Raw genomic sequence first — 23,460 nt, 5'->3', positions numbered from 1 at the left:
GTATATGTGATATTTTCTTAACTCCAGAGATCATTGCAAAATTCATTTATGAAATCCTCTAAAAGTGCTCTATTCTAACTTGGCTTGGAAAAAAATAAGCATTTATAAATAAATATTCACCAAACTCCTAGAAATATAGGAACTGATCAAATGTTTCTTAAGTTAACATGATTTGGATAAAACTTAGTTAAATAAGATTAATATAGTATTTTTGGTGTAATAAAACAACTATATCTTCAAAATTATCATTATTGAATATAAAACAAGCATAAATTCCTATTCTGCTTGAGTTCTAGTCAAATAAGCTAATATTATACTTACTAGAAATGTAAAATCTTAAAGCTTATAGATTTGATTCTAATTAAGTTGTCATTCTTATGAAAAACATTATTTTTTTATGCTGAAAAAATACACATATATTTAGAGTTAGCCAGCTGGACTCAGTTTAGATGATCCCAATTTTGTTACAACATCGAAAGCATCATAATCAGGAGCAAGTCGAACATATGCCTTGTTCTCTTTATCAGGACAAATCAGGGTGGTGACCTTGGCCACATCACTGTCATAGAGCTTCTTCACAGCCTGTCTGATCTGGTGCTTGTTGGCTTTAACATCCACAGTGAACACAAGCGTGTTGTTTTCTTCTATCTTCTTCCGGCCGACTCAGTGGTCAGCGGAAACTTGATGATAGCATAGTGGCCAAGCTTGTTTCTCCTGGGGGTGCTCTTCCGAGGATATCTGGGCTGCCTCCGGAGTCGCAGTGTCTTGGGCCGCCTGAAGGTGGGTGACATGCGGATCTTCTTTTTTGCGTGTGGCTGCGGACACCTTTCAACACTGCCTTCTTGGCCTTTAAAACCTTCACTTTGGCTTCGGCTTTAGGAGGAGCAGGAGCTTCCTTCGCTTTCGGTGCCGTCTTGTGAAAAGCGAAAAACATTATTTCAAAAATAATTTGTTTACAGTAAATCTGCCTAAGAATAGTTTCCAAAGTACTTTTGGTAATTTTTAACCTTAAAGTTAAGCTAAGTAAAAGATCTGCATTAAATATCTAGACCATTTATAAATAAGATACAATACTAAAACATTAATTACTGAACATAAATAATTCAAGTTTATATACTTTTGGCTTCCTGTTTTTACAGAGAGACTAAAGATATTTTGGCCCGTTAATAAACATGTTTTTTTCTGCCACACTGAGGAATTGTATTATGAGGAAACACATCCCTCTAGATGTTGGGAGATGGTATATTCATACATTTTCTAACCTACTATAGAATGCTAATATATGACAGTTTATAACTGTCTACTTCCTAGTTTTCTCTGGAAAATAAAAGATTACTAAGTATTAAAATTATAATCAATATATGTAAATAAAACTACTAGAAATAATAGAATAACTAGAAACAACTCTATGCAAAGCATGCAAGAAAAGTAGGGCATGTTTCGCAAGTAAAGTAGGTTGCATTTTTCATAAGGAAAACCATACAGAAGATACAAATAAAAAGAGATACCTAACCTTCCCTGTGTTATATTTGTATGGGTAAAATGTTATATTTTCAGAAATTATATAAAATTCCTGGAAGTTTGTCAATGTCCTCCTTATCCATGCTATGTGCCACTATAGAGTAATGAGTCATAATTCCAATTATTACTTTAAATGTTGTGCCAGGCACAGTGGCTCATGCCTATAATCCCAGCACTTTAGGAGGCTGAGGCGGGTGGATCACAAGGTCAGGAGATCCAGACCATCCTGGCTAACCCGGTGAATCTCCATCTCTATTAAAAATATAAAAAATTAGCTGGGCGTGATGGCAGGCACCTGTAGTCCCAGCTACTCGGGAGGCTGAGGCAGGAGAATGGCGTGAACCCAGGAGACAGAGCTTGCAGTGAGCCGAGATCGCACCGCTGCACTCCAGCCTGGGCGACAGAGCAAGACTCTGTCTCTGAATAAATAAATAAATAAATGTTGTCTGCCACAGAAAAAATAGAATATCCTTGTCAGTTGTGGTATAATGAACTCTCATCAGATCTTTCATCACAGCCATTTCATACTTTTTGTCATTTAGATATTATTTCCCCCTGATGCTTTCCTGAAAGCTCCTGCAATCAACTACAGGTCAGAATGTTCGTCTCCAAGACAGGACTCCCTCTGAGACTCACAGAAAAGACTATGACAGGTACTCTGGTTATAGGCTTCTGATGATATTGCTTAAATAACTTTAAGACCATACACTTGACTCAGTTAAGGTCTCCAGAAGTCTGGTTGGGAAACTGATGGGTTCATGACACTGCTAACTCAAGATCCACAAGACTGGAATTGATTACATGGCACTGAATGAACTGATGAAAATTGATTATAATTGTATAGCTTTTTGGAGCATTGCTGGTTAATATTCTAGTTTCTGGATTTAAGAAATCTCTTTCTCTTACTCTAACTGTAACTTACAACAATTTAGTAGATTATACTTTTGTAAACAGAAATGAAGCGTTTATCTTTTTTTCTTGGCTGATTTTTCCAGAATTTTGAAATCCTTACTGAATACTCTTATTTCCACGATGATATTGTTGTTAGCAAAAGTCCAGTAAGAATCTATTCACCTTATAACAGGACATAATTGGAAATTTTGGTTATATTATCAAGGTTTTTACTGGAATATCATATTTAGGAAGTGTACCTAAGATCAGTTATGACCAGCAATTTTAAGGAAGTAAGGTTGACTTTTATGGAGACAATGCTTACAAAGCACTGTGGAAAACTTTGAGGAAAGTTCTTCCTTAAAGATTATAAAGTCACAACTACCCACTATTTTTATATGTGTGTGTGTGTGTGTGTTCCAAATCACTTGTCCTAGCTTGCTCCAGCATGCCTGGACAGAACTAGACAAGCCCCAGCCCATAGTGCATGTCATTCCTTATTTGGAGATGCTTCCTTAACTATCCCTGGGCAACTTCCTTTTCTTTCCTTCTTCTATTCCCCTTACCTAATTAAGAAAGTTTTAAACTAACAGCCAATCGGGTAAAGTGTAAAATGGGAGGTCCTATTCCAGCCAATGGAAACTGGACACAGCAGTAGGGTAGACACGTCAGGTTATAAGTAACTCTGTCTCCTTTGTTTGGTGTGCTCTTGTAGCTGGACAGCTATTGAGTAGCACCCTTTGTGCAGAAAAATAAAGCTCGCCTTGCTAAGAGATCATTTGTTCCCATGTTAGTTCTTTTTTTTCGGGGGGGGAACATAAAAAACTTCATTCCCAACAGCACTCTGAGAAAACCCAGCCTGATACCTAGATTACAGGGTTCACAGCCTTATAGGTTAGTAAGGAAGGTCATTTCCTGGTAGGCCCAGGAATTTAGGGATATTTTGGGGCCTCAAGAAGAGAGGAATTCACACAAAGCTATAAGGACTGCAGCTGAAATTTGATAGTATGCTCTTGGCTTGGCTTTTAGCCTGAATAAGGCCTTTAAAAGTCAAGTCTGAGATTCTGTATGAAAACTTCCAGCAAAGAAACCTGAAAGCACCTACGTGGTCATCTCCTGTTCTTGCTGCACTTACGTAAATAATCAAGCAAAATCTAACAAAACTAGACTTATTTTTAAAACAAGAATAGTCTTACTTTGATTATGATAAAAAATGATGGTTACTACAGAGAGAAATTTTATCTTTCAAAGGAAAAGTATAACACAGCCGGGCATGGTGGCACATGCCTATAATTACAGCCCTTTGGAAGGCCAGGAGTTCAACATCAGCCTGGGCGACATGGTGAAACCCCGTCTCTACCAAAAATACAAAAATTAGATGGGCATGACGGCATGTGCCTGTAGTCCCAGGTAATCAGGAGGCTGAGGAGGGAGGATCGTTTGCACCCAGGAGGTAGAGGTTGCAGTGAGCTGAGATTGCACCTTTGCACTCCAGCCTGGGTGACAGAGCCAGACCCTGTCTCAAAAAAAATTTTTTTAAAGGAAAACTATAGCCATTGTGAGTTATCAGATTCTAGTCTTGTTTCTTGTTTCTGGGCTATTTTTACCTCTTTGTAAACTGGATCCTGCCATCTGATGAATTTTGTCCCACAATGATACTTGGGGAACAAGAAGCCAAGTATTGTCTCTCCTACTAATGTATCTATTGTCAGTTAATTTGAAGGTCTCCAACCCTGGAACAAAGTTAGAAGAGGAAGGTTCTGCTCCCCAAAATGCATAACCAAATTGTGCTACATTCATGTAATGGAATACTATTTAGCCATAGAAAGGAACAAGATATCAACACACACAAAGACATGAGTGAATCTTGCATGCACATTGCTAAGTGGAAGAAGACAGTCTGAGGAGGATACACACAGTGTGACCTCATTTAATGAGACACTGGAGAAGGCAAACTACACAGATGGGAAGCCATTGGCTCCATGGGGTGGGGGTTTGAGGCATTCCATTTGATACTTTAATAGTGGGTTATCTGCCACAATGCATTTGTCGAAATATGCAGAATTTTACAGCCAAATGGTTAAAGCAAACTCTATTCAAATTAAATCAAATTACTCAGGATGTGGAGTATCCCAGGACAGAATACATCATGTGAAAAAGAATTTATGCTACAAATTACTATGGTTTGGATGTGGTTTGTCCCCACAAAAACTCATGTTGAAATTTGACTCCCACTGGGTCAGTGTGGGGCGGTGGGGCCTAGTGGACGGTGTTTGGATCATGGGGACGGATCCCTCATGAATAGATTAATGTCCTCCATGGGGGTGAGTGAGTTCTGTTCTCACAGGAATAGATAATTCCTGCAGGAGTAAGTAATTAAAAAGAGTCTGGCTTCCTTGGCTTCCCTCTTGCTTTCACTTCTGCTATGTGATCTCTGGTGCACCCCTTGCTCCCCTTCCACTTTCCACCATGAGGTGAAAAAGACTGAGGCCCTGCCAGATGCAACTGCCCAATCTCAGACATTCCAGCCACCAGTATTGTGAACCAAATGAAACTTTTTTACTTATAAATTGCGCAGCCTCAGGTATTCTGTTACAGAAGCACAAAATGGACTAAGACACAAATCTAGGTAAAAACTTTGAAAATGAATAGAATCTGTAGGCTGAAGGCACATGAACTATACTTCATTATTGGATTCCATTTTATAAAGTTCTTTCCAAAAGAAGCAATTGTGAACAATTGTAAAACCACAGTGTCTGTATCTGGAATAAAACAATGACTTACATAAGTCGCAGATGGTGGGAACCCGGTTTCTTACTGTTGAAGTGGGAGGTTACAAATTAGCAAGGCGAGAAGGCTAGAATGATTCATGTGATAGTAGATCAGAGGTGGAGACATCAACGTAAACTTATGTTTAGTTTAATATAGACACACACAGTTCTACATAGAAAACTTTATAATTAGGTGTGTATAGGTAGGTTAGACACACACATATACTTCCTAGCATTGCCAATGAGGGAGAAGATACAATGTGCTCATTCAGCAGCCAGATGTAAGTTTTCCTACCATTCTGAAAGGAATCAGGCTCTTTGAAGAAATGTCTGATACTAGAACTGGGACAGTAAATATAGGAACCAGGATAATCTGGAAGTATCAGAAAGTAAGTACTAAAAAAATTAAAACATATCAAAGAAAAATAAAAGCCAATAAAAACAGCTACTGATGGCCAACACAGGAATGAATTGTGCAACATAATACTGTAGAGTTGAATAATAACTAAAGCTTAAAGTAATTATCTAGGTGTCTGTATTTGTATACCTCGGTGAATAAGCAAATGGAGTTGCATAGAAATCTCCTTTGCAAAAGAATTCCAAATAATTGATGTAGACACTCAGCCGTCAAGAAGGTGGAGCCAACTCCTTACGGAGTGAGGCTCTGCATAGTGACTTGCTCCAAAAGAACACATGCAGTACGGACAAGGAGGAGAAATAGCCTCACAGTGGAGAAACCTGACAAACATTAACTCTGCCAAATGATCCAAGTGAACATCAAAGGTGACAGTTCAACTTGAGAACATGAAGTGACAATGGGGGACATTCTACAACATTCCTGACCAATCCTCCTCAGTGCTATGAAGGTCATCATGAGATGGAAAGCCTGACACACTGTCACAGCCAGGAAGAGCCCACGTGATGTCTACATGTCATGCGGGATCCTGGATGGGATCCTGGGTCAGAGTAAGATAGAACTAAGGGAATCCAAATGAAATATGAACTTCGGTTAATAATAGTCTATCAGTATTGGTTCATTAACTGTGACAAATTATGTAAGATATTAATAAGCCATGTGAGACACACTGATAGAAGATGTTAATAAGAGAGGAAACTAGGTTGCGGCTACATGGGAAATCTCTGCTTTTTTTTGACAATTTCTGTGTAAGTAAAAAAGATGATGTAAAATAAAACTTTATTTAAAACACTGTTTTTTTTGAACACTTCCTTGTTTAATTATTTATACCATGAATTACTAGTAATTGACACTGTTAACTAGTCCTGTTTTTTTAAATAAGAGTATTTATGACACAAAAAATTAAACAGTGCAGACTGATACATAAATCAAATGTTCTTTACATGTTTTCTGTTGCAGTAGTAACACATATGTGTAAACTTAATTATCACGTTTTTCTTGTGCAGTGGTTGTGTCCTGAGTTCATTCTCTAAAATGCTGTTCACCTTAGACCAGGAAAAATATTAACCATACAGACTTTGTTTTAATTCATAGCTAAATATTTTCAAAAGAGTGACTTTGTAAAAATATGTTCCAATGGCAAATTGATTCACTGTGATGGGATCACTTATTCCAAAGACTTCCTGTCTTTATTTTGTTGCCATGCCTACCTTTTAGCCATGATAAAACAGAATCAAATATTGGCCACTGGGAAAAAATATTCAAAGCAAGAAAGAATGTGAACAGAACTTATGACCATGATGATTCAATGTTTTACCACAATGCTTTCTAAAACAGAAGAGTGTAAAAGGATATTCAAAGTCAATTTCCTCAGCAAGGCTTTGCAGAAAATGAGGAAACTACAGAAACAAAAATGGCAGGACATTCTACGGGTGATTTTAAATGTTGCTATGTTTTATGGGAAAAAATACTTTACCTTTTAAAGAATCACAAAGAATTATTGGAAACCCAAACTCTGGAATGTTTGCAAATTTAGTTGAGCTTCTATGTAATTATGTCTATATAGGTAGCCAGGAAGTTGATGATTTTTTAAAAATCTGTGCCTTATTTGTGTGATAAAATACACAATGAATAATTAATGCTCATAGGAAAACCTTATGAAGGGAAAATAAATCTTGGGGACCCAAAATCACTAAGCTAAAGGGAAAAGTCAAGCTGGGAACTGCTTAGGGCAAACCCGCCTCCCATTGTATCCAAAGTCACCCATCTGCTCACCGAGATAAATGCATACCTGATTGCCTCATTTGGAGAGGGTAATCAGCAATGCAAAAGAATGAAACCATTTGTCTCTTACCTACCTATGACCTGGAAGCCCCCTGTCTGGCCTTCTCACCTTTCTGGACTGAACCAATGTACATCTTACACGTATTGATTGATGTCTCATGTCTCCCTAAAGTGTATAAAACCAAGCTGTGCCCCTACCACCTTGGGCCCATGTTGTCAGGACCTCCTGGGGAGGCATCACGGGTGCACATCCTCAAGATTGGCAAAATAAACTTTCTAAAAAATCTGAGAGCTGTCTCAGATTTTCAGGGTTCACACATGTAATGTAGGATGTCAATGTTTATAAAACAGACATTATTCTATCTACTATTAGAAATATGCTGCCAATTAACCTTACACTTTCTCAACAAAATAAAAAATGTTGATGAGGTACAAATAATATATCTAAGCTTAAATATTGTTACAAGTTTTAATATGCCTACTTTTCAATTTTTCAATACTATTTTTACTAATTTAACACTTTAAGTGAATAACTAAAACATGAATAAGTGTTTACAAGGGGTGCACATGTTTCCTCCAGCCTCTGCCTATCCCCAGCTTTCATCCCAACTGTCTTGATGGTGGCTCTAAGCATTTCTCCTTTCTCTATGCCAAGATCTCTCCCAGAAACAAACCCAAACCTTACTATATGTTATGGCACGCTATGATGATGAGCAGTGATGAGCAGCCGAAGCCTCAAGGAAGGGATGCTTTTGTAAAACAAGACTTGTAGAATATAACGTGTGAAAGTAAAGCCCATGGCAGAGCTCCCTCCTCAGCACACGGGGAGCAGACAGGAAGCTTTTGCCTCACCTTCCTCAATGGCCTGCAGCCACGTCTCCCAGGTCAGTCTTAAGGACAACGAAACTCTGGTCTTCACTGTGGACATGCCACACTACCAGGTGCTCCAAAGCCATGGTGACCCATCCTCGGGTGGGTCCTGAGAACAAAGCTCTGGTTCTAATCCTAACCCTAACCCTGTCCCAAGACTTTGAGCCTGAACCTAAGTCCTGATCCCTACCCTGGTCCTTAATTCTGACCCTTACTTTAACCCTGACTTTGATCTTGACCCTGACCATGACCCCACCTCTAACCATACTTCCGGCCCTGACTCTGACCCAGATCCTAATCCTATGCCTAACCCTATTATTATCTTTACAATCTATCTCTACTCTTACCCTCTAGTGCTAAATAGCTGTACCCAAAAGCACTTTTAAATTATTTCTTTTCTTGAATTCTCTATGGACATCCTAAAGGAGATGTCAATATGTATTGCATTCCCTCTGAGTGGTATGGCTTCAGATATGAAGTTCTAATACTTTGCAAGACATAAAAAGTTTGGAGGGTAACAGCACTGGGTTGTTAGGGATGTATGTTGGCATTCATGATAGTCATTGGTGTTGTTCTCCAAATATTTTCAGTTCATTTTTTATGAATGCATTCTGACTGTTCCATCCCACCTACTTAAATTTTCCCATGGCCACATGACTTTTTTTTTTTTTTTTTTTTTTTTTTTTGCCAATGGAGGTGAGAAGAAATAACATGTGACTTTTTCAGGAGAAATCTCCAAGAAACAGCGTTCTATTCCACATGCTTTTTTCTCTTTTCTATAGCAATGGGGATCTTATTGACAGTCCCTCCTTCCTTCTGGATTCCTGTGTTAGGATGACACAGCACAGAGCTACCTCTCACCTGACCAGTCATGAGATGTAAATAAATGAGGAAGAAGATTTTTGAGCCACTGAAATTTGGAGGTTGTTTGTCACCACAGTTTAAGCTAGCCCCCACTGACTGATGCACGGCTGAAGAATGAGTCCGAACTGGCTCTGGACAAGACATGTGAAGAGCGCTCCAGGCTGAGTAAAATTCAAGGGTTGCCTCAAAGATAACAGTGAGCACGATATGTTATTGGGGTGGGTGTGGGATAAATAAGGTATATCAGGTGAGAATAAGAATAAACTCAACTTTAAAAGACGGCGCTGATTTGCACTGTGGAGAGATTCAAATGCCCTGCTTAGCATTTGAGATTGTGATGGATGAACAAACTAATTAAGAGCCCAAAATGAAAGCTGGGGATAAATATCTGAAGGTGTCTAATATCCCAATTTTTCATCCTAGAATGGGCAGAGTCCTTGACCCCATTCTAGGGAGACTTCCAAAAGAAAAAAGACCTGCATTTCTTCAACAACCCACACTGAGAGACTTTCCTGTACTTTTGACCTGTGGCTAACACTCCTCACCTTTCATTCTGTCATCAGTGTTTTGGGGAAGCACCTTTATCTCTCTGATTTACAGGTTATTAAGTGGCCCTTACAATTCCCTCCAGAGATGGAAAAGACATGATGGTGTCTGACCTCACAGCAGCAAGCAAGCATGTGTGCTCAGAAGCCACATGGCTCATCTGCTAGGAGCTTACTAAATACGATGTTCTACAACATTGCCTAACACAAGGGGAGACGCTCCTGACTCACAGTGTTTAATTGCTCATCTACTTCATTTTCTGCCCTCTTGGGCTTATAAAATGAAAAGAACCCTGGGGTGATACAGTGAATCAAAGGGGTGCCAGCCACATCACAGCAAAATAGATTCCTAAAAGATCCCTGGCCTAAGATGACAGTCTTGGCTGGATACGTTTGAATGTGCTCATAGTGGATGTGGTAGAATGAAGCTGGTTGAAATGTTCATATTAAAGAACTTCCACCCAGATTGCAAAAAGAGAGAGAGGAATGGAGATGGCAGCACAAGTCCCTACATAAAAGCAGATGTTTTGAGATCAGTTATATTTCTTCTGACAAAAATTGAAGACAGAAACGAAAGTTTAGCCTGAGACTACAATTAATTGGGCAATAAGCCAGAGGCACATATGGCATAGGCAGATTTAAACATTTCTCCCTTATATTAATACAAATACTAAAATTACAAATACTTTGATTCCAAATAAAACAAATATTTTAAAAATTTAATGAATAAATACTAGGGTCTACAGTAGTATTTGAAGGAGATCTCACAAACAGGTTTGGTTTTTGAAGGTTAGAACTAGTGGTCTGGAGAATTCATTTCATTCCGAGACAGAAAGAGGAATTTCTTGGGTTCCTTCAGGAATGCGTCTAGTTTTGCCTCATCTTTGTTTGAACTATAGATACAGCAGAAGAAAACATGAGGATTTCACAGATTTAAGGTGCAAAAAGTCACTGGGTTCTCTAAGAAGTCTGGGATTCTTCTGCTGGAAAAATAAGTTTGTTGAGAAAAAATGAGTTGGAGGAGGCTGTTATTGAAGTGAAGCAGAATTGTTTTTACTAATCTGCTTATTACCCACTCTGTAATGTGGAAACAAATTATTCACTCACAAGGTCCTCTTACTGTTCCTAGAATGCAGTGGAAAGAGAAAAGATTAGTTTTTCTCCCTCAGAACACAACCACTAGAAACATTCTACCTCAGATGAGATATTGCTTAATTATTTTCAAAAGACAGTGAAAATCATGGATGTAAATGTTTGCTGCAAAATAAATACACGCTAGAAACAGAAGCATCTCAGTCACAGCTATATTAGAGCTACCTGTGTTCCCCTGTCACTGAGATTAAAACAAAAATGTCCAATACAATCATTCACAGCATGGGAAAGGGGAAGTTGAAGGATGGAAAGGCCAGGCATAAAAGGATTTCAGAATTTCCGTCCATAAGGAAGTGGATTTGTGCATTGTCTGTTACTGTGTGCAAGGTGAAGTTTGGAGAATGAAAACGTGCAGTAACAAGGGCTCCTTTGTCCATCTCACCTCTCCAGATACCACGTTTCAGACATGTTGCATTTCACTTGAAAGGTTGATATAATTCTTTTAAAAGAACACTTGCGGTGTTTGAAGCGACAAAGGCTGCTGTGACAAAAAAGCAGTGAAAGGGAATTTTTTTTAAAAAAAGCAAACAACAACAACAAAAACCCCACAGAAAAGCAAACAACAAACAAACAAAAAACAGAGGAAGAAGTCAAACACCCTGAGCTATGACTACTTCAAGGAAGGGGCTACAAGAGGCAGTTGGAAATTCCATTTGCTTTGCAACTGTGGGTTTTCCAGCCTGCTTCCTTTCTAAAGTATATTACTCTGCTTTTGGTTCATGAAATTTTCAGTTTCTGTTTTCTGGAACAGCTATGTACTTTCTTTATCTATCATCTATCTATCTACCTTCCTATCATCTATCTATCTGTTTACTATCTGTCTTTTCTACCTTTTGCTATCAAAAGCTTGGGTCAAGCAGTATAGAATTCCAGTGTATGTTCACTCTACCATTTAAAACAAGAACTCTTGTAGGAATTCTCCATCACATCATAAACCTGAGCTTTCTAAAACAAGGTGTGGCAAACTACCATACATGGACTATGTCTGACACAGTCTGCGTTTGTAAGTAAAGTTGTAATGGGACACAGCCACGTACATGTGTTATATAACGTCTCTGGCTACTTTCATGGTATAATGGAAGAGCTGAGTCATTGAGAGAGAGACCATATGGCTTGGAAAATTTAAAATATTTAACATTTAGCCCTTTGCAGAAAATATTTGCTGACTCTTGTTTTAAAAGATCTCTGTGGCCAGGCGTGGTGGCTCACGTCTGTAATCCCAGCACTTTGGGACGCCGAGGCTAGCGGATCACGAGGCCAGGAGATCAAGACCATCCTGGCTAACCCAGTGAAACCTCGTCTCTACTAAAAATACAAAAAAATTAGCCGGGTGTGGTGGCGGGCGACTGTAGTCCCAGCTACTCCAGAGGCTGAGGCAGGAGAATGGTGTGAACCTGGGAGGAGGAGCTTGCAGTGACCCGGGATCGTGTCACTGCATTCCAGCCCGGGCAACAGAGCAAGACTCCATCTCAAAAAAAAAAAGGATCTCTGTTTAGAATGCTACCTATTGCCTTCTGGATAGAATCACAACTCTTTACCACAAACAACACAGCTTCAGCCCTGCTTCTATATCCAGCCTCATCTATTTCTGCTCCTCCTCCTTATTTTCCTCCTGGACATGCTGATGGATTGTCAGCTTCCCAGATGTGTGAGAGTCTCTCCTGCCTTCCTAACATTCTCATGCTCTCCCTCTGCCTCTCAAGAAATTCCTGCCACATCTCTCATGACAAATCCCTTCTTCATTCTTTAAGATGAAGCCCCTTTGCTCCTTCCTTAAGGATGTCTGTCTGGCTTCATTTTGGGGGACGTGCTCCTTCTGCATCTCCCAGAGCCAGCCTGTGTGTGTCAGCTACAACATTTCTTTGCATCTCTGTGTCATATATCACCAAATCTGCCTAAGCTTGAGTGAGTCACTGCATGACAATTTCAGACTCCACCAGCAATGTCCCCACTAACCACGAGGCTTAGACATTTGTCCAGTATGCTGCGGGTTGTGGGGTGGTAGCAGTAACCAGCTGGTGAGCATCATTTCTTACATCAGAATCAAATCTGTAGATCTCTGCCATTCATAAGTATTTGGAGTTTAAAATTAGCATATTTTCCTTAAAATAAGAACAAATGGCTTGAGTAGGCTTTTGGAACGTAGGATGTTTCCATTGGTTCATTTCTGTGTTCAGTATTCCCATATGAATCTAAACACTACTCTGCTATTAGTAGCTGTGTGACCCTGGGAAAGTCACTCAATCTCCCTCAGCTAAATTTTGTTGTGTGTGTAATGAGAAGAGAGTTGTGATTTGTATTTAGTGAATAAAAACAAACAAAAAGCATTTAGCTTTCTGGAACCTGGTATGTAGTAGAACCTCATGTAAATACTAGCTCTGTTGATAAAACTAGACCAAAAGAAGGTTTCAAGGTCAACAACAGTATGAGGCAGTGAAGAACATAGAGGAGAAGCTGCTTCTGCAGCCTGTAGCTCCTGGGGACCCGTTTTGTCCATGATTTAGCAGGAACACACTACCTTTCCATGAGGAGAAACTGTCCACAGAAACCAAGGCCATTCTTTGAAGACAAACATGTCTTAATAGCCTATATATTAAGTAATAGTGTAATATAAATAATAATTTATTATTAGTAATAATGTGAAATTATTTACACTACCCTAACCCTAAACCTAACCCCAATCCTAACCCTAACCTTAACCCTAAAACCTAACCCTAACCCTAACTGTAACCCATAACCCTAACCCTAACCCTAAACCTAACCCAGCCCTAACCCCTAACCCTAACCCCTAACCCTAACCAGTAACCCTAACCCTAACTCTTAACCTGAACCCGAATCCAAACTTGAACCTGAACCCTAAGCCTTACCCTAAGCCTAAGCCTAACCCTAAGCCTAAGCCTAACCCCTAACCCTAACCCTAATCCTAAACCTAATGCTCACCCTAACCCTAACCCTCACCCTCACCGTGACCCTCACCCTAACCCTCATCCTCACCCTAACCCTCATCCTCGCTATTGTGACATATTGCAGGAAACAAAATCCCGGTGATGTAACTCTGTTTAGCCTCTGCCTACGGGAGGCACTAGTGACATATCTCTACACTGATCACACACGTGATGGAACTCTGGTCTAGGTTCAGGTTAAGAGTTAGGGTTAGGGTTACTGGTTAGGGAAACAAATAGGGTTAGGGGTTAGGGCTGGGTTAGGTTCCCGTTAGGGTTAGGGTTATGGGTTACAGTTAGGTATAAATAATAATTTATTATTAGTAATAATGTGAAACCAGGTACACTACCCTAACCCTAAACCTAACCCCAATCCTAACCCTAACCTTAACCCTAAAACCTAACCCTAACCCCAACTGTAACCCATAACCCTAACCCTAACCCTAAACCTAACCCAGCCCTAACCCCTAACCCTAACCCCTAACCCTAACCAGTAACCCTAACCCTAACTCTTAACCTGAACCCGAATCCAAACTTGAACCTGAACCCTAAGCCTTACCCTAAGCCTAAGCCTAACCCTAAGCCTAAGCCTAACCCCTAACCCTAACCCTAACCCTAAACCTAATGCTCACCCTAACCCTAACCCTCACCCTCACCCTGACCCTCACCCTAACCCTCACCCTCACCCTAACCCTCACCCTCGCCATTGTGACATATTGCAGGAAACAAAATCCAGGTGATGTAACTCTTGTTTAGCCTCTGCCTACAGGAGGCATTGTGACATATCTCTACACTGATCACACAGGTGATGGAACTCTTGTCTAGGCTCTGCCTATGGGGGCACTGTGATAGATCTCTGCACTGATCACCCAAGTGATGTAATAATTGTCTACACTCTGTCTACGGCAGCTTTGACATATGTCTGCACTGATGACCCAGATGATGTAACTCTTGTCTAGTCTTTTCCTATGTGGGTTTTGTGACTTCTCTCTGCACTGATCGCCCAGATGATGTAACTTTTGTCTAGGCTCTGCTTACTTGGGGGATTGTGACATATCTCTGCAAAGATCACCCAGATGATGTAACTCTCCTCTAGGCTCTGCCTACTGGGGGCATTGTTACATATCTCTGCACTGATCACCCAGGTGATGTAACTCTTGTGTTGGATCTGCCTATGGGGGCATTGTGACATATTTCTGCACTGATCACCCAGGTGATGGGACTCTTGTCTAGGCTCTGCCTACAGGGGGCTTTCTGACATATCTCTGCACTGATCACCCAGGTGATGTAACGCTTGACTAGGCTCTGCCTACGGGGCATAGTGACATATCGCTGCATTGATCACCGAGGTGATGTAACTCTTGTCCAGGCTCTGCCTATAGGGGGCCTTGTGACGTATCTCTGCACTGATCATCTAGGTGATGTAACTCTTGCTTACGCTCTGCCTGCAGGGGCATTGTGAAATATCTCTTACTGATCAACCAGATGATGTAACTCTTGTTTAGGCTCTGCCTACAGAGGGCATTGTGGCATATCTTTGCAGAGATCACCCAGGGGATGGGACTCTTCTTTAGGCTCTGCCTACTGGCGGCATTGTCACATATTTCTGCACTGATCACCCAGGTGACAGACTCTTGTCTTGGATTTGCCTATGGGGGCAATGTGACATATCTCTGCACTGATCACCCAGGTGATGTAACTCTAGTCTAAGCTCTGCCTAAAGGGGCATTGTGACAGATCTCTGCACTGATCACTCAGGTGATGTAACTATTGTCTAGGCTCTGCTTAAAGGGGCCTTGTCACATATCTCTGCACTGATCACCCAGGTGATGTAACTCTTGTCTAGGCTCTGCTTACAGGGGGTATTGTGACATATCTCTGCACTGATCACTTTTGATTTATCTCTCTCTGCTAATGCATGTGAAGTGTTGATCCTGGGGTTGAAAGTCGGCAGAGGGCATTCTGATATGGCCTTCTTAGAACTTTCTTGGTGTCCTGCTATGACATAAAGCTCTTGAGCCTCCTCTCTTGCAAGGCTTTCTTTCAATATGCTTTGGATTTTCTGTTTTTTCCTTTAAGACTTATGTAATGAATTTCTTTCTCCTTCTCACTTCGATTGTATATTTCCTGACATAACCTCTTGTGAAAGGAGGTAAAACTTTGAAAGTAAAAATACTGGGCAGAGTGAACAAATGGCAAAAAGGTGAGGAGTTTTGCAGTGAACAGGTGGACAGTTTAGCACAAGGTGGTGGATGTGGAAAGTGACAGAAGGTTCCAAGATGATGAAACATCAAACCACATGTTTTCTTTAAAAAGAAGTTTTTCATGCCAAAAAATACTTTAATAATGAAAATGACAGAGGTATAGAACTGTTATCTCATGTTTTCCAAGGTGTACTCCTTTGCAAAACAGTTTTAAAATATTCTCAAGCAATAACAGAATTCAGTGGTCCAAGATCTTTGTGAAACCTGCAGGCCACCCGTCTGACTTAGACAGCCACAATGCCCACCAGTGTATGAGAAGTTCTAAGAAACTCTGCAGAAAGGACACACGTTTAATCGAGTGGGTCTAAATTTGTTTGATCACATACTCCTTTTGCTTACGCTCTGCCTGCAGGGGCATTGTGAAATATCTCTTTACTGATCACCCAGATGATGTAACTCTTGTCTAGGCTCTGCCTACAGAGGGCATTGTGGCATAACTCTGCACTGATCACCCAGGTGATGGGACTCTTCTCTAGGCTCTGCCTACTGGCGGCATTGTCACATATTTCTGCACTGATCACCCAGGTGACTGACTCTTGTCTTGGATTCGCCTATGGGGGCAATGTGACATATCTCTGCACTGATCACACAGGTGATGTAACTCTAGTTTAAGCTCTGCCTAAAGGGGCATTGTGACAGATCTCTGCACTGATCACTCAGGTGATGTAACTATTGTCTAGGCTCTGCTTAAAGGGGCCTTGTCACATATCTCTGCACTGATCACCCAGGTGATGTAACTCTTGTCTAGGCTCTGCTTACAGGGGGTATTGTGACATATCTCTGCACTGATCACCTAAGTGATGTAATACTTGTGTAGGCTTGCCTACAGGGGCATTTTGACATATCTCTGCACTGTTAACCGAGGTGATGTAACTCTTGTCTAGGCTGTGCCCACAGGGGGATTGAGACATATCTCTGCACTGATCCCGAGGTGATCCAACTCTTGCCTGGTCTCTGCCTACTGGGGACATTGTGACATATCTCTGCACTGATCTCCCAGGTGCTGTAACTTTTGTCTAGGCTCTGGCTACACAGCATTGTGACATATCACTGCACTGATCACCCAGGTGATATAACTCTTGTCTAGGCTCTGCCTACAGGGGGCTTGTGACATATCTCTGCACTGATCACCCAGGTGATATAACTCTTCTCTAGGATCTGCTTACAGGGTGCTTTGTGACATATCCCTGCAATGATCACCCAGGTGATGTACCACTTGTCAAGGCTCTGCCTACAGGGGCATTGCGATGTATCTCTGCACTGATCACCTAGGTCATGTAACTCTTGTCTAGGCTCTGCCTACAGTGGCATTGTGACATATCTCTGCACTGATCACCCAGGTCATGTAACTCTTGTCTAGGATCTGCCTACAGGGTGCTTTGTGACATATCCCTGCAATGATCACCCAGGTGATGTACCACTTGTCAGGGCTCTGCCTACAGGGGCATTGCAATGTATCTCTGCACTGATCACCTAGGTCATATAACTCTTGTCTAGGCTCTGCCTACAGTGGCATTGTGACATATCTCTGCACTGATCACCCAAGTAATGGGACTCTTTTCTAGGATCTGCCTAAAGGGACTTTGTGACATAACTCTGCACTAATCATCCAGGTGATGGGGCTTTTGTCTAGGCTCTGCCTAAGGGGGCATTGTGACGTATTTCTGCACTGATCACCCAGGAGACGGACTCTTGTCTTGGATCTGCCTATGGGGGCATTGTGACATAGATCTGCACTGATCACCCAGGTGATGTAACTGTTGTATAAGCTCTGCCTACAGGGGAATTGTGAGAGATCTCGCCACTGATCACCCAAGTGATGTAACTATTGTCTAGGCTTTGGCCTACAGGGGGCTTTGTGACATACCTTTGCTCTGATCACCCAGGTGATGTAACTCATCTAAGCTCTGCCTACAGGAGCTTTGTGACATATCTCTGCACTGATCACTTAGGTGATGTAACACTTTTATAAGCACTGCCTACAGGGAATTTCGACAAATCTCTGCACTGATCACCTAAGTGATGTAACTCTTGTCTACCCTCTGCCTACAGGGGGCGTTGTGAAATATCTCTGCACTGATCACCCAGGTGATGCAACTCTTGTCTAGGATCTGCCTACAGGGGGTATTGTGAAATATCTCTGCACTGATCAACTAGGTGATGTAACTCTTGTCTAAGCTCTGCCTACAGGGGCGTTTTCACATATCCCTGAACTGATGACAAAGGTGATGTAACTCTTGCCTAGGCTTTGCCTACAGGGGACATTGTGACATATCTCTGCACTGATCACCCAGGTGGTGCAACTCTTCTCTGTGCTCTGCCTACAGGGGACATTGTGACATATCTCTACACTGATCACCCAGGTGATGCAACTCTTCTCTATGCTCTGCCTACAGGGGGCATTGTGACATATCTCTGCACTGATCACCCAGGTAATGTAACTCTTTTCTAGTCTCTGCCTACAGAGGGCGTTGTGACATCACTCTGTACGGATCACCTGGGTTATGTAACTCTTGTCTAGGCTCTGCCTACAGGGGCATTGTGACGTATCTCTGCACTGATCACCGAGGTGATGCAACTCTTGTCTGGGATCTGCTTACAGGGGGCATTGTGACATATCTCTGCCCTGATCACCCAGGTGATGTAACTCTTGTCTAGGCTCTGCCTACTGGAGACATTGTGACATATCTCCACACTGATCACCCAGGTGATGTCACTTTTGTCAAGGATATGGCTACAGGGACATTGTGACATATCTCTGCACTGATCACCCAGGTGATGTAACCCTTGTCTAGGCTCTGCCAAAAGGGGGCATTGTGACATAACTCTGCACTGATCACCCAGGTGATGGGACTCTTGTCTAGGCTCTGCCTACAGGGGCATTGTGATATATCTCTGCAGTGATCACGCAGGTGATGTAACTCTTGTCTATATCTGCCTACTGGCGGCATTGTGGCATATTTCTGCACTGATCACCCAGGTGATGGACTCTTGTCTTGGATCTGCCTATGGGGGCATAGTGACATAACTCTGCAATGATCACTCATGTGATGTAACGCTTGTCTAAGCTGTGCCTAAAGGGGAATTGTGACACATATCTCCACTGATCACCCAGGTGATGTAACAATTTTCTGGGATTTGTCTACAGGGGGCTTTGTGACATATCTTTGCACTGATCACCCAGGAGATGTAACTCTTGTCTAGACTCGACCTACAGGGGCTTTGTGACATATTTCTGCACTGATAACCCAGGTGATGTAACTCTTGTCTAGGCTCTGCCTACAGGGGCTTTGTGACATACTTCTGTACTGATCACCCAGGTGATGTAACTCTTGTCTAGGCCCCACCTACAGGGGGTATTGTGACGTATCTCTGCAATGATCACCCAGGTGATGTAACACTCATCTAGGCTCTGCCTACAGGGGCGTTTTGACATAGCTCTGCACAGATCATCTAGGTGATGTAACTCTTGTCCACTCTCTGCCTACAGGGGACATTGTGAAATATCTCTGCACTGATCACCCAGGTGATGGGACTCTTCTCTATACTCTGCCTAGAGGGGGATTTGTGACATATCTCTGCACTGATCACCCAGGTGATGGAAGTCTTGCCTAGGCTCTGTCTATGGGGGCATTGTGTCAAATATCTGCACTGATCACCCAGGTGAAGTAACTCTTGTCTAGGCTCTGTCTACAGGGATTTTTGTGACATATCACTGCACTGATCACCTAGGTGATCTAAACCTTGTATGGGCTTTGCCTACAGAAGGCTTTGTGACATATCTATGCACTGATCTCTGAGGTGATTCAACTCTTGTCTAGGCACTGCCTACAGGGGACACTGGTACATATCTCTGCACTGATCACCCAGGTGATGGACGCTTGTCTTAGATCTGCCTACATGGGCATTCTGACACATCTCTGAACTGATCAACCAAGTGATGAAACTCTTGTCTAGGCTCTGCCTACAGGGGCTTTGTGACACATCTCTGCACTGATCACCCTGAGGAGGGAACTCTTGTCTACGTTCTGCCTACAGGAGGCTTTATGACTAATAATTACACTGATAAACTAGGTGATGTAACACTTGTCTAGGCTCTGCCTACACGGGAATTCTCACATATCTCTGCACTGATAACCTAGGTGATGTAACACTTGTCTAGGCCCTGCCTACAAGGGAATTCTCACGTATCTCTGCACTGATCCCCAAGGTGATGTAACTCCTGTCTAGGTTCAGACTACAGGAGCGTTTTGACACATCTCTGCACTGATCACCCAGGTGATGTAACACTTGTCTAAGCTCTGCCTACAGGGGCATTGTGACAGATCTCTCCAATGCTCACTCAGGAGATGTAAAAATTGTCTGGGCTTTGTCTACAGGGGGCTTTGTGATATATATTTCCACTGCTCAAACAGGTGATGTAACCCTTGTCAAGGTTTGGCTTATAGGGGCTTTGTGAGATATCTCTGCACTGATCAGCCCAGGGAGGGAACACTTGCCTACACTCTGCCTACAGGAGGCTTTATGACTTATCCCTGCACTGATCACTAGGTGATGTAACAATTGTCTAGGCTCTGTCTACACGAGAATTTTAACATATCTCTACACTGATCACCTAAGTGATGTAACCATTCTCTAGGTTCAGTCTACTATGGAGTTCTGAAACACATCTGCACTGATCACCGAAGTTCTGTAAATCAATTTCAGGCTTTTTCTACAGGGGATATTGTGACATATCTCTGCACTCATCACACAAAAGATGCAAATCTTCTATAGGATCCACAGGGAGGGGGCATTTTAATATATCTCTGAACTAATCATCCAGGAGATGTAACTCTAATCCAGGTTTGCCTAGACAGCGTCGGAAGGTGGGGGGAGACATTCAGCCAGAATTTCACGGAAGAACAAGGGCACAGAGAGGCCAGCGAGCTCCCTTGCACGTCAGCCGGGGTGCGCACTGCGCGCAGGTCTAGCCAGGAAGCGGGCAAAGACAGACAGAGGTATGCTTTTGACCGCCAGGCGCTCCGTGCTGGCAGCTGGGAGGCTGCAGGGGCCCGGGCGGGCGGGCGACGGTGGCGCGGGGGCGCAGAGGAGGCGAGCCGCCGGAGCGGTGTCAGGCCCGGACGCTGCGCGGGGCCCGGTGTTTCGCGGGACGGGGGTCTCCACCCAGCCCAGGGGACGACGCGTTTTCCGGGGGTGGGGGGTGGGGGTGGGGAGGGGGCGGTCAGGCGGCGGGGTGGGCTGGTGGAGAGGCAGGAGAGCTCTGCCCGGGCTGCTCCCACAGCCCAGGCGGCTGCCCGCAAACCCGCGCGTGCGCAGTAGGCGGCCCACCTGCTGGTACCTGGGCCGGCTCTGGGATCCCCGGGATGCCCAGGAAAGAAAGGCAGTTCTCCGCGGAGTGGAGTCTCTCACCGGGCCTAGACCTAGAAGGCAGGAATCCCAGGCCGGTCAGCCCGGTGGAGGGGGCGGGGCGGAGACACGCCCCTCCGTAGCCAGCCAGGTGTTCCCCGCGAAAGAGAGGCCACCGCCCTGCCCCGAACCACCCGACCCCGTCCCAACCCCGCGTCCTAAAGCTCCTCCAGCAGAGCCCGGTATTCTTCCTCGCTGAGGGGTGCTTCCAGCGAGGCGGCCTCTTCCGAGGCCTCCAGCTCCCCCGGGGCCTCCGTTTCTAGGAGAGGTTGCGCCTGCTGCAGAAACTCCGGGCTCGCCAGGAGCTCATCCAGCAGCAGGCCGCAGGGGAGTGCAGACCAGGGCGCCGGCTCCTGGAGCGCCTGGGAGGGCGCCGGGATGCCTTGCATCTGCCCCTGCCGCGCGGAGGCGGAGGCGTCCGGGGGCGCGGGCTGGGGAGGTGGAGCTGCCCCGGCTTGGGGTTCCCACGCCGCCCCGGCGACCTGGGGACCCCGGCCCCAGCCCCACCACGGACTCCCCTGGGACGTGGGTGGCGCAAGCACCCCTTGGCCCTGCGGCCCCGCTTGAGCGGGCCCAGGCTGTGCCACCGCGCAGGGGCCCGGCAGGCCGTCGCGCTGCGGGTCCCGGTCCTCCCGGCTTTTGCCCGGGTGCGGAGGCCACCGAGGAGCCTGAGGGTGGGAGAGCGCCCCGTCCGGAGGAGCCGGGGCGGCGTAGGCGAAATCCCCGCGCGCCGGGGCAGGTTGGGAGATCCCCTCTGCCGGCGCGGCCTGGCTGGGCTGCAGCGCGGGGGCGGCCCTCGCTGCCTGGCTCACGAAAGCCCCCTGTGGGAGAGCCCCAGGCGCGCAGGGCACGTGGGGTGCGGGAAGCCCCGTTCCCCACGCGCCGGTGTGGGCGAAGGCGACCCACGAGGGAGCAGGGTGACCCCCGCCGGGGGCCGCGCTGCACAGGCCGCCTGCCTGCGCGGGCGCCCTGCCACCCTGTCCCGGGTGCCTGGCCCTTCGATTCTGAAACCAGATCTGAATCCTGGACTCCGGGAGGCCCGTCTCTCTGGCCAGCTCCTCCCGGGCGGCGATGCCTGGAAAGCGATCCTTCTCAAAGGCTCGGAGGAGCAGGGCGGTCTGGGATCCGGTGACGGCGGTCCGCTTTCGCCGGCCTTCTGGCGGGCCGCGTCTCCCGGGCCAGGGCCGAGATTCCCGCCGGTGCTGCCTCAGCTGGCGTGACCTCTCATTCTGAAACCAAATCTGGACCCTGGGCTCCGGAATGCCGATGGCCTGGGCCAGCCGTTCTCTGGTGGCGATGCCCGGGTACGGGTTCCGCTCAAAGCAGGCTCGCAGGGCCTCGCTTTGGCTCGGGGTCCAAACGAGTCTCCGTCGCCGTCCTCGTCCCCGGGCTTCCGCGGGGAGGGTGCTGTCCGAGGGTGTCGGGAGGGCCATCGCGGTGAGCCCCGGCCGGAATTTCACGGACGGACGCGGGCAGAGAGAGGCCGGCGGGCTCCCGTGCACCTCAGCCGGACTGTGCACTGCGGCAGGTGCAGCCAGGAGGCCTGCCCGGACAGCCAGCCAGCCAGCCAGCCAGCCGCCCTTGTAAAGGCCCACAGGCAGGCAGGCTCCACCCCTTCATGAATGGCGGTGAGCCCCCCTGGGACAGCCCGCCCCACCCCGGAAGGGACCCAGGGCGTCGAGGCCTGGGGCCGGCCGGCGGGGTGGTGGTGGTGGTGGTGGTGGTGGGGGGGGGGGTGGTGGGGGAGGGCGTGGTGGCGGTGGTGGTGGTGGGGCCGGAGAGACGAAGAGGAAGGGGGAGAGGGGGGAGGGGGGAGGGGGGCGCGTTTCGGGGGCCGGCTCTCCGGACCTCTCCAGGGATCCCGCGGGAACGGGAAGCCGCTCTCTGGGCTCCCACGCGTCGGCAGCAGGGAGAAACCAGCCTGGGAGGGTGGAGGGGAGTGTGGAACTGAACCTCCGTGGGAGTCTTGAGTGTGCCAGGCCCTCTCTCCGTGAAGGAGGCAATGCCTGTGGGCGTCGCCGTTGCCGGGAC

At 45.2% G+C, this 23,460-nt stretch overlaps 1 protein-coding gene and 1 pseudogene across 4 annotated transcripts; both read right to left on the bottom strand.

Moving 5' to 3' along the window:
- RPL23AP84 (ribosomal protein L23a pseudogene 84) lies at nt 397-924 on the bottom strand (annotated as a pseudogene).
- On the bottom strand, nt 10,725-22,862 carry DUX4 (double homeobox 4). 4 transcript variants are annotated; one of them, NR_137167.1, is given in 6 exon segments: nt 10,725-10,787; nt 11,197-11,295; nt 13,333-13,400; nt 14,455-14,519; nt 21,352-21,443; nt 21,580-22,862. NR_137167.1 is itself a non-coding variant. In NM_001293798.3 (3 exons), exon 1 carries the CDS (start codon nt 22,860-22,862, stop codon nt 21,588-21,590), a length of 1,275 nt encoding a protein of 424 aa, NP_001280727.1. In that variant the 3' UTR covers nt 20,791-20,989; nt 21,352-21,443; nt 21,580-21,587.

The sequence above is a fragment of the Homo sapiens genome, chromosome 4 (genome assembly GCF_000001405.40).
Source record: "Homo sapiens chromosome 4, GRCh38.p14 Primary Assembly".
Taxonomy (NCBI): Eukaryota; Metazoa; Chordata; class Mammalia; order Primates; family Hominidae; genus Homo; species Homo sapiens.
Note: the sequence above shows the minus strand (reverse complement) of the source record. Positions and strands in the feature narration are given on the sequence as shown.

Excerpts from the sequence above, each read along its gene's own strand:
- DUX4 (NM_001306068.3), bottom strand. The coding sequence starts at position 22,862 with ATGGCCCTCCCGACACCCTCGGACAGCACCCTCCCCGCGGAAGCCCGG.